Genomic DNA, 12,157 nt, shown 5'->3' with positions numbered 1-12,157 from the left:
TGACTCACATGTGGACATGGCTGGGGAGGCCTCACAATCATGATGGAGGGCAAAGGGGAAGCAAGACACGTCTTACATGGCAGCAGGCAAGAGTGCTTGTGCAGGGGAACTCCTCTTTATAAAACCATCAGATCTCGGCCAGGCACAGTGGCTCACGCCTGTAATCCCAGCACTTTGGGAGGCCGAGGTGGGTGGATCACCTGAGGTCAGGAGTTCGAGACCAGCCTGGCCAATATGGTGAAACCCCGTCTCTACTAAAATCGAAAAATTAGCTGGGCATGGTGGTGGGTGCTTGTAATGCCAGCTACCTGGGAGGCTGAGACAGGAGAATTGCTTGAACCCAGGAGGCTTAGGTTGCAGTGAGCCAAGATCGCACCACTGCACTCCAGCCTGGGTGACAAGAGTGAGACTCTGTCTCAAAAAAAAAAAAAAAAAAAAAAAAACATCAGATCTTGTGAGACTTATTCACTATCAGGAGACCAGCACACGGGAAAGACCCTCATGATTCAATTACCTCCCACCAGGTCCCTCCCACAACACATAGGAATTATGGGAGCTGCAATTCAAGATGACAATTGGGTGGGGACACAGCAAAACCACATCACATGCTGAGCTGTAGCAGGTGAATAAACCACTGAGACTACGAACCTCTGTCCTCTGAAGAAGATGCCATTTTCTCAAATTCTAGGAGTGTGGGCCACTGTTCTGAGGTTGCTGCAGAGGAGCACTGCTGGAGAAAAGGAAGGGGGAAATCCACATATCCACTAAGACATCGTCAGAATACTGCACATGGAATTATAGGATATTAACAATTTAAGAGACTGTAGACACAGGATAGTCAAAATCTCCCATTTTACAGACAAATCAACAGAGGCCCAGAGCAGTGAAGGCATTTACCCAGACACTCACTGGATCGGTGCAGCTGGATCTAGATCCAGGTCTCTTGACTCATTTAACAGCTGTTAAACCAAAAATGGGTGTGATTTAGTCCCATTGTCATCTGATACATTGGCAATGCCCTGCATATTTTTTTGTCTCTATGTTTAATACTCCTTTGTAAAGGGTAGCTTTTGATATTTCCTGAACTGAGCATCTGTTAAAATTGGATTCATCTTCCCTTTAAGGCAACAATTGGTGTTTCTGATCTTTAATGCCAAAAAAAAAAAAAAAGAAAAGAAAAAGAAAAAAGAAAAAAAATAAAAACAGAATAACCACACCCTAGCAAAAGTGTACTATTGGTTTAACTAAATACATTAACTCTCTGATGTAAAATTAATAATTTATCTTTACTATTTCAAAGAGACTCAAAAATAACCAGTACACAAACATCTTCACTAAGTTTTCTTTGTGCAGCATTTGTATGTGGTGACTTTTTTTTTTGAGACGGAGTCTTGCTCTATCACCCAAGCTGGAGTGCAATGGTGCCATCTCAGTTCACTGCAACCTCCGCCTTTCGGGCTGAAGCAATTCTACTGCCTCAGCCTCCCAAGTAGGTGGGATTACAGGCGCCCACCACTGTGCGCATCTAATTTTTGTATTTTTTAGTAGAGACCGGGTTTCACCATGTTGGTCAGGCTGGTCTCGCACTCCTGACTTCAGGTGATCCACCCACCTGGGCCTCCCAAAGTGCTGGGATTACAGGCGTCAGCCACCACACCTGGCCGTATATGGTGACTTTTGTTGTTATTTGGGTCAAGAATGGATTCATATTAGACTTTATTAGGTTCTCTTTTTCTATTTCATTTTACTAAGAGAACTTCTTTATGTTACTAGTTATTATAGTCTCCAAGCAGATCTAAAAATGATTTTTTTTCTCTATTTTAGCACCAACTAATTCTGCTGTTTTGGACATTATCTGTTTCCTGAAATCTAGAAAATGTGCATAAAATATGCTATTTTTCTCAAGGTGAATTTTTTAATACTGCTAGAAAAATATTTTGAGGAATATCTAAAAATAATATGACAAGCTGAAAAGAAAGTTGTAATACCAAATCCAGAAAACAATCACAAACCTTCCATTTACAATCATAGTTTATATATGATTTGGTAATGTAAATCATAACATATGAATAATTTTTCATGCAAGGACCTAAAATATCTTTAAAGTCTTATTAATTTTCGCTGTATCAATTAAGGTGACCAATTCATCCCAGTGTGCCCAGAAACTCATTAGTCCCAGGCAAACTGGGGTGGCTGATCACCCTATCAATAAATTGCCTCTGTTTCACTAAGGAGAGGAAAGAAGAGAGAAATGAAACCATTTGCCTGAATAAAGAGACAATTGCATGATTTTGGGCTCTAGGTAACACAGAATAATCTTCCCCCACACTTAAATCAGCGTAAAAATGTTTCAAAATGCCCATTACAAACCAATTAATGCCTATGCATTCAGGTGAATTACCAACCAAAGAAGATTTTGTTTGTATTTGAATTTGACCAACATACACCCAACCCACATAAAGGAGGTGGCAATAAGTTCTATTGTTTTCATTCCAGAAACACTTTGAATAAATAGCAATTATCATTCTATAACCCAAAATCCAACTAAACAAACCGATGGCTAATCCGGAGAAGTATAATGTATCACTTTGGAATTTAGGATTTATGTTAACATATTTGCCCACAGTGTCATAAAATGGTGGAGTGGATAGATAGATCCATCTAATACTGTTAATCCAATCAAATGCACACCTTTATAGACTCATGTCTTCACTATTATTTTTACACACCTACCCTGCTGATGATGTGTAAATCGGGAACTAAACATAAAAATTCATTATTAAAGGAATGTAGCAACAGTATGTGGAGGGAAGAGGTCATAAAGTCTAGCAAGGAGTAAGGACTCGAATTCTGGCAGCAAAAGGTGGGGAACAGAAGGAGACCCGAGGACGTTTCTTTAGTGCAGGGGTTCTCAAACTTGGCTCACATCAGGATCACCTGGAGGGGGTGAGAAAATTCTAATGCCAGGCCACACTCTAGAATAATTAAATCAAGACTTTTGGCCGGGCATGATGGCTCACGCCTGTAATCCCAACACTTTGGGAGGCTGAAGTGGGCGGATCACTTGAGATCAGGAGCATGAGACCAGCCTGGCCAATATGAAACCCCATCTCCACCAAAAATACAAAAATTACCCGGTGTGGTGGTGGGCATCTGTAATCCCAGCTACTCAGGAGGCTGAGGCATGAAACTCACTTAAACCCAGGAGGCAGAGGTTGCAGTGAGCCGCGACTGCAAGATTGTGCCACTGCACTCTAGCCTGAGCAACAGAGCCAGACTCTGTATTAAAAAAAAAAAAAAAAAAAAAAAAAAAGTACTTGTGGAGGTTGGGACCCAGCCATCAATTTGTTTTAAAGAGTCCCAAATAATTATAATGTACAGCCAAGTTTGTGAACTTACACTGGTACCTTCAGATGAGTGCTTTTTTGATCTGTTTGTATGTTTCCCATATTACTAATTTTTCAATACTCCCAACAGGAATTAATGACAACTAATGAAAAAAAAAGGACGTAATCCCCAAGCACTAGTGATTAGAGTTTCATTTTACAGAATTGTAGAGAACTGCTTCCAGGAAATACAGCTGAATTAAAACTTAGAATTGAGACAAATACTTCACTTACAAAAGTATTTTAGTGGCCAGGCACAGTGGCACGCACCTGCGGTCCCAGCACTTTGGGAGGCTGAGGCAGGAGGTTCACTTGAGGCCAGGAGTTTGAGACTAGCCTAGGCAACATAATGAGACTTCGTCTATATAAAAAGTTTAAAAATTCACCAGTGCAGAGGCTTGCACCTGTGGTCCCAGCTACTCGGGAGCCAAGGCAGGAGGATGTCTTGAGCCCAGGAGTTCCAGGCTGCAGTGAGTTTTGATCACAACACCATACTTCAGCTGAGCAACACAGCAAGATCTGTCTGGAAAAAAAAGACAAGGAAATCAGAAAAGTATTTTACAAAATTCTGCAAGCATACTTCCACCTAAGTCTAGCAAAATTCTTCCAGGTACTTAATCAAATATTTTTCCAAAGTGTTAGGTTCCTGTAGTAAGTTTCTCTTATGGAAATTTGTGTGTTATTTTAGACTCCTCATTTCTTTTACCTCTTAGATTTTTGTCAAAGCAAAGTAAAATAGTAATGTATGCAAATAAGAGACCCATCAAGAAAACATCTCTAAGCCAAGTGACTAAAAAATTAATTTAAGGAATAAAGAAGCAATTTTTTTCCTTAAAGAAATATCAGATTATTTTAGTATTTCCCAAATGCACATTTTATATTTCTCTAAATAGTTAATTAGGGCATTACATGTAATTTGAAATCAAAAATATCAGCATTAAAAGTAAACATAGAAATCAACTGATTGAAACTTCTTATGTGAGAGATAAGGAATCAAAAGACTAGAAAAGTTATCCAAGCCCTCCTGGGACTCAGGTCTCATTCCTATCCATTCCAGCATCTTCAACATATAAAAACATCAGAATTGAAGAAAACATACCATATTTTTTAATTCATAGCAAATTAAAAATAACAATTATAAATGTATGAACTACTGAAAAGCCAAAATAACTTATGCACTCTCTAAGCTGGAACCAATATGAAAAAATGTCCATAATTATAAGAAAAAAGTAAGCCAGAGGTATGTACGAAAGATTAGATTTTTCTTTACAGATAGCTGTAAGTGGGTTACTTAACACAGACTACATTTAGATATTTAGTGCTAAGAAGAGACTTCTTCTTCTCCTTTTCCTTTTTTTTTTTTTTTTTTTTAAACAGGGCCTCCCTCATTCTGTCACCCAGGCTGGAGGGCAGGGGCATGATCTCAGCTCACTGCAGCCTCAACCTTGCAGGCTCAAGCCATCTTCCCACCTCACCCTCCCAAGTAGCTATGACTACAGACACACACCATCATGCCTGGCTAATTTTTGTATTTTTTGTAGAGACAGGGTTTCGCCATGTTGCCTAGGCTGGTCTTGAACTCCTGGGCTCAAGTGACCCACCCACCTTGGCTTCCCAAAGTGCTGGGATTACAGGCATGAGCCACCACACTCGGCCTAGCTTAGAGATTTTGAATAGTTTACTTTGTGTGAAATAATATAGCGTGCCATTTCTTTGGGATAAAATAACATATTTCTAAGCATACCCTTCATGGACATGAAGCAATTTGTACCATAGTTTCACATATACCTATTTGGTCTTGCACAACAGAAAACAGATAGTAAATAATATCATTATTTATAATGGTAAATTTAAAAATTTATAAATGTGCATTTAAATTTCTCATTTAAATAATGGTTTTATTTTCTGGGTATGCTGTACATATTGGTGGCCCCAATGCATCCATGCCTCCAGCAGTCAGGCCTTTCTCTACTGCCTCCCACATTGACGCTGGGCTTGGTCATGAGACTTGATTTGGCCAATGGAACATCAACAAGCTTGACACAAGCAGAGGCTTACTAAATGCTTTCACATTGGGAGTTATTCTCTTGGAATGCCCTATAGGCAGCCAGCTACCATGTGAGAAGTTCAATTACCCTGAGACACCATACTGTGAGGAAGTCTAAGCTAGCCTCTTGGAGAGCCCACACCAAGGAAAGCTGAGGAATCCAGGCAACAGCCATAACTGAAGCTCCAGGCAACAGCTGTAACTGAGGCTCCAGGCATATGACTGAGTCAAGCCATTCCAGCCAGTTTCCAGCCATTCAAGACAATGCCACTGCCCCCAGGCATCACAGAGCAGAGACAGGCCATCCCTGCTATTCTGAATCCAAAATTCTGTCCCACAAAATAATTGTGAACAAATACAATGGTGGTTGTTTTAAGCCAGTGAGTTTTGGGGTCATTTTTCATGCCGCAATAGGCAAGTGAAACAGAGTATTTTAAACAGAAGACTCTGTTATTTGCTCAGTGACAATAGCTGATTTAAGGCGAACTAGTTCATTTGCATCCCACCAAACTTTTGACCAGCATACTAGTCATTTTAACACTGACATGGACCTCTAATGAAAGTCCTGGTCTAATAACAATAGATGACATCAAAACTTTCAAGAGAAAAGCAAAGGTCTACCCTCTTCAGAGATGGTAAAGAGTAAAGCCATTGCACATGATGTTCACAGCTCTCCTCTCTGCTCCTTCCCAAGTGGGACCAAGCAGTGTAGCTCCAACCTGAAGTCAGGGCATCCCCTGCTCCTCACTTAAGCATGCTGGGATGCCCAAGGAAATTCTTTTTCTTCTCGTTGAGTTTCAATTCCTTTTGACTCTCTTTTAGTTCCTCATTCCAGGGACATTAACAATTTCTCTACAAATATTTATGCCTCCAATACCACACAAACCAACAGTTTCACTGAAAGGAGATCTCTTTTCAACATAGTTAAGCAATGTTCTCCCTCACCAAGAAACTATAAGTCATTTACAAATTAAGGTGATCATAATTATTACGTAGCTTCTAGTCATAATATTTAAAAGTCATTAAGAGTATAATTCATTTATTCTAGCCATGATTATTCACAATGCTATACTCTAAATGCTATACTTTTCTACAGCTTTTAATCAATAAATACTTTTCAGATTTTTGGTGTTTACATATCACCTGAAGTATTTTGTTGGTTATTTCCCTATGGTAACAACATTGGTTTTCCGAATGACTATAGGCCTACTTTCATTCCCATGTGTGACTCATTCCCATCTCATCTATTCTATTACAACATCTACGTGTCACCATCTCTCTGAAGAGAGTTAGAGAGTTTCTAAAATATACTGGAGGTGAGATCATGCAAAAAGGAAAAGACAGTGCTTCTCACATACCTAACGATCTGATGATCTAATCATACTCAGAAGTTTTACCTTGAACTTTGTGTGTGTGTGTAACTATTTCAGTACATGGGTTGTCCTACTCACCCAAACTTCCCATTGAAATTTAAATGGGAATTCATCTAATAAAATTATGAGTCATCTAATAGAAACTACAAGTCAATTTTTGCTAATTCCATGGTATGCATACGCAGCATAGCATGTATGCATTGACATACACACACATGTACCAGAAGTTTTTTAAATAACAACTATCCTTGACTGAGCTTTACATTCACAATCTCATTTAACATTTATCAAAACCTTGTGGCATATCATTATCTTTATTTTATGATTGGGGAAACTGAGGCTCAAATGGACTGCATTAACTTGCCTGTGGTCATACAGCTATAAAATGGTGGAAACAGAATTTGTACCCAGTATATTTACTCTTTGTGCCACACAAGTCAAAAGTGCTTGCTAGAGAGTTATGTAAAATCTGAATATGGGCAACACATTTTGATGAGCCCTTGCTGATGGCTTTTATCTAAGGTAAGAGCCCAGGTATGAGAAATCTGGATTTTCTATTTGAAAATCAGAACTCATATTTTTCAGAGGCAATTGGTAGTTTGACATCATTTACCTGGATCTTGTTCTGACAAGATCCATGAGTCAGAAATAGACACTCAGGACCAGAGGACAGGTTTTTATAACCAAAAGCTACCTTCTCATTAATCAAACCTCAAAGCATCCACTGCTTTCATACAGAGGTGTGTTCTTAACTTGTTTTAGCCTAAAACGAATCAGCATCAGGGACGATGATTGCTTCCCTGAGAGAGTTTAGCAAGTTCCAAACCTGGAGGACCTCAGACCCCAACCTGTCCAGTTAGACTCCACACTCACTCCTGTTTTCTATCAAAATTTTCTTTCCCCACACACTCACAGAATATGATAGGACAAGAAAGACAAAGACAGGGTAGTAATAATGGACAGGCCACAGATACACCCAATACCATCAACAGTCATCAGCTGAGAATATTTTATCCAGAGATTCATCACAAAAAAAATATTGTGAAAATGTTCATGTATCATCCCCAGCACCCTAGGAAGCAGTAGTTTCAGGTCACCACCCAGTCCCAAGCCTTATATGTCAGTGCTTCCGAAATCTTAATGTGCATACTTATCATATGGGGATCTTGTTAAAATGCAGATTCTGATCTAATTGTTCTGGGTTGAGGCCCAAGATTTTGGACATCTAACAAGCTCCCAGAGGATGCTAAGGCTGCTGATCCACGAGTCGCAAGATTATGGGTGATTTTGATCAATTAGCAATTCGATGCATTCCCCACAGTGAGTGTCGTGTCTATAAACCAGTCTCAATAGGTCCTCTATCAACTGAACAGGATAAACAACACAGCAGGAAAGGTGGCATCGTTAGAATCCCACTAGCACAGTCTTGCTCCAAGCAAGCTAAACCTGCAAGAGCACTAAGTCAGGCCTGGAAGGAAGATGTTTCTTAGGTTCTCACCAAGAACAGAAGACAGAATGAAGTCTAGAAATTAAGATCGATCACTTTGTCCCAAATTTTTCCTGGACTCCATGCGTAGTAAAAGCTATGAGAGGTTCACAAATCAGATTCACAGGAGAGGATGGAAAACACTTGTCCAGGATTGTCTATTGTGTTAGCTAACTAGCACTAAAAAATATACGTCTATATTTATGTATAAGTGAGTATTCACTTATAAAAATCTTTCTAAATTCTCTTCAAGGGCCATTTCTTTCTTCAGTGAACCAAATGATGGCTGAAGTTTTAAGAATAAAAACAACAGCCAGACGCAGTGGCTCATGCCTGTAATCCCAGCACTTTGGGAGGCCGAGGCGGGTGGATCACGAGGTCAGGAGATGGAGACCATCCAGGCTAACCCGGTGAAACCCCGTCTCTACTAAAAATACAAAAAATTAGCCAGGCATGGTGGCGGGTGCCTGTAGTCCCAGCTATTCGGGAGGCTGAGGCAGGAGAGTGGCGTGAACCCGGGAGGCGGAGCTTGCAGTGAGCCGAGATTGCGCCACTGCACTCCAGCCTGGGCGACAGAGAGAGACTCCATCTGAAAAAAAAAAAATAATAAAAAAAAATAAACAACAATAACTCTAACTGTGAAATTGCGTCCTATTCCATACTAAATTAAATCAGCTTAGACAGGCTGCTTTCATTTGTGTTATGGATGTCATTATTCTTTGTTTTCAAGAAATTTGTATTGGAATGAATGGAGTTGGAATAAAGAACCAGTGAAGAAGTGGTCATTAAATACCTGCTTCCTGCCTACTGCGGTGTGAGTCACTATTAGGAAGACAAAATAAGGAAGCTAGAACTTTAGGGAAGGAAATTACAATATACAAAAGAGTCCCTTTGCCCAACTGCAATTCCTGTCACCCATAATCATGGTAAATAATCCTAATAATTATTACCCTTGCTTGTATCATGATAAGGAAATTGATTTGAACTGGGAAACAGAAAACATGTCTCTTCAGTAAAGCTCTTTCCACCCTCCCACACTCAACAAAAGCTTCATAAAGCCACCCGTAACTCTTATGCCCCGTTCCACCGAGTCAACTCCTGTGACTGGCCTCACACCCTTCTCAAGTATCCAAGGCCTTCCCCGGTATGGTCTCAGCTTGTTTTTCCAGAGGGCGGCCGTCATTACCTGAATGGCAGGTTTGCTACGCAAGCGCCTTAATGTGGGGCTTTGTAGACATCACACCTGGGCCGTCATTAGTGTCGTCTGAAAATAATAATCAGCCAGCAGACCAAAGAAGGGCATTCCAAGAAAATTCACTACTACCAGTGTTTGGGGAAACCAGGGAATATCTAATTTACGTATTTATAGTTAATCAAAGAAAGGGCTAACTTACACACATCACACAAGGATAAGTCACCCCAACGTTTATTTATAACTACACCTGGCTACAGTGCTAAGAGTTGGGGGAGGCTGCGCACTTGTAGTTGGCAGCCCTGAGGAAGGAGGTAGCATCTCTAATCATTCCCAAATGGACAGGAGGCTGAGCCAGTGGTAGGAGAGCTTACTGTGGGAACATGGCTTTTTATATTTCTCTCTCAGTCTCCTATTCTCCTCCTACAATGTTAGGTGCTTGGAAGTTTCCAGAAGAGGCCTTTCTACAGGAGACAAGGCATTCTCTGTCTCTCTCCTCTGTCCACACCTCAAGTGTGGATCCACCAAAGGTCAATAGGGCCCTAGGGAGGAGATGACAGCATGCAAGACTGCCCTCTTCCACCCATCCACACTGTCTCTCAGTCAGCCAGATATCAGAGTGGCCAAGACCAGGCTCTGTCTTAGACCACACTGTGGCTGTCTTAGCACAGCAGATATCCACAGCCGGACCCTCCCCATCACATGAAGCAGAAGGAAGAAATAAGTCCCCTTGTGACAAGCACTTGCCTGCTATATGTTTTTACAGCAAACAAAGGTTAAAACTACATCCTTCAGAGAGGAACCACTGAGTCTTCAGGCGACTGGAGAAGGGGAGCTGGGAGCCTGCACCTCTGAGCAAGCCAGAGACCCATGCTAGGGGGTCAGAGATTGAGCAGGCTGGGCAAGAGGAACCCAGACCCCTGCAGGTAGGGATCATGGTGGGTAGAGTCTGGGGCTGGGAATTCAAGGCTTTGATCTATTTCCAGTATCTTTGTCTTCATAGTATCTGATCCTCCCCGTTTTGCCCCACCAGACGTGAGTAAGGAGGAGAATTCATAGCCAACTCCAATAATTCTTTATAATAAAACTTTATAAGTGGTATCTGCTACTCTTTATTTATTTATTTATTTGTTTGTTTGAGACAGAGTTTCGCTCTGTCGCCAGGCTGGAGTGCAGTGTCACGATCTCGGCTCGCTGCAACCTCTGCCTCCCAGGTTCAAGCAATTCTCCTGCCTCAGCCTCCCGAGTAGCTGGGACTACAGGCACATGACACCATGCCTAGCTAATTTTTGTATCTTTAGTAGAGACGGGGTTTCACCACGTAGGCCAGGATGGTCTCGATCTCTTGACCCCGTGATCCGCCCGCCTCGGCCTCCCAAAGTGTTGGGATTACAGCCGTGAAACGTCGCGCCCCGCCTGTGCTACTCTTAAAGGATCCAAAGGATATCTAGAAGGGATTCACGTGCTCGTTTGGGTCCCACAGTACATCGAGGTTTGGGAGCCTCTCAGATATTTGCTTCCTGTCCTCAATTTTGTTTGGGTGCCTCCAGTAACCTCTGATATTTATATAAAACTATCTCACTGTAAAAGGGGCAAAGACCTAGTCTTCTGCCTCCAGGGCTTCTCCTGTGGTCATTTCTCATGTCCTCGCCATTGTGTCAGCCCCAGCTAAATGTTTCTTCTACAGGAGGAAAGGGAGCATGTAACCTCTTGCTCTCAAAAATGGAGAGGGGAAGAAAAAGTTTAAGATGGGTAAAGAGAGACTAAAACTGCAGGCAGCCGTCTTGTTTTCTCAGTCTCCCCTAAACCCACTCCAAGCTGGACGAAACCATCTGTTCACAGAAAAAGTACAAAGGAAAGAAGGGTTTGAGAATGTCAGGTAGTAGACAAAAAAGTTTCAGTTCCTACCCTTACAATGATCCCTTCTCTAAGAGCTGGCTCCCTTTACAAGACAACTCGTCAGAGTTTATTTCTGTACTGGCATTTATGTCTTCAAGGCATCCAAGTATCTTGTGGATCTTTCAACAGATCAAAAGGCAGAAAGAAAAATGTTCTTGGATCAACTCCTAGAAAAATCTGAAACCAGATTTTCCTGAGATATTTCAGGCCAGTCAGTGCCTGTCAGCTTTATACTGTGGCATCTTTCTTTTCAAATATGGATTAAACCCTGCGATGAATGAAAAGATTAAAAGCTCATCATTCCAGCAGCCTTAGTTTCTAAATTGTTGTGCTATCTCCTTAAAAACTTCTGTGCATTTGTATCACGCTGTCTGCTCTTCGGGGCCACTGCTTGTGTTGCAGGGAAGACACAAAGCATGAGAGTTCCGAGCAGTGGGCAAAGATGCTTGTCAAGAGTGTTATAAGGGGGACCAGGCATTGGGAAAGGAGTTGAACCTGAGGGACTTTCAGATTCGATTATTTTCCTCTTAATCGGAGAAGAGTTTGAGTTTATAAACAACATAAAATAACAGATATATGGAAGATACTGACGTTTTGGAGGGCTATCAATAAGATAGGGCGTGGCCAAATTACAAATAAAGTTTATTAGGACACAGTCATGAACGTTTGTTTGCATATTGTCTACAGCTGCTCTTGCACAAGGACAGCAGAGTTGAGTAGTTGCAACAGTCTCTCCAGCCCACACAGCCTAAATATTTATGACCTGGCCTCTAC

At 41.3% G+C, this 12,157-nt stretch overlaps 1 long non-coding RNA gene across 2 annotated transcripts in view; it reads right to left on the bottom strand.

The window, feature by feature from the left end:
- The window catches only part of LOC105371777 (uncharacterized), a 70,694-nt gene continuing 59,183 nt past the window's right edge, over nucleotides 647–12,157 (bottom strand). The window contains exons 1-3 of one of the 2 annotated variants that reach the window (XR_934755.3): nucleotides 8,305–8,372; nucleotides 3,773–3,909; nucleotides 647–730 (exon numbers count right to left, since the gene is read on the bottom strand). This is a non-coding gene — a long non-coding RNA (uncharacterized LOC105371777). Of the gene's footprint in view, nucleotides 731–3,772; nucleotides 3,910–8,304; nucleotides 8,373–12,157 lie in introns of those variants that run through there. The other variant, XR_934754.3, reaches the window with a different exon arrangement.

This window comes from Homo sapiens, chromosome 17, assembly GCF_000001405.40.
Source record: "Homo sapiens chromosome 17, GRCh38.p14 Primary Assembly".
NCBI lineage: Eukaryota > Metazoa > Chordata > Mammalia > Primates > Hominidae > Homo > Homo sapiens.
The sequence above is the reverse complement of the archived record's forward strand: the minus strand, read 5'-3'. Positions and strand labels throughout refer to the sequence as shown.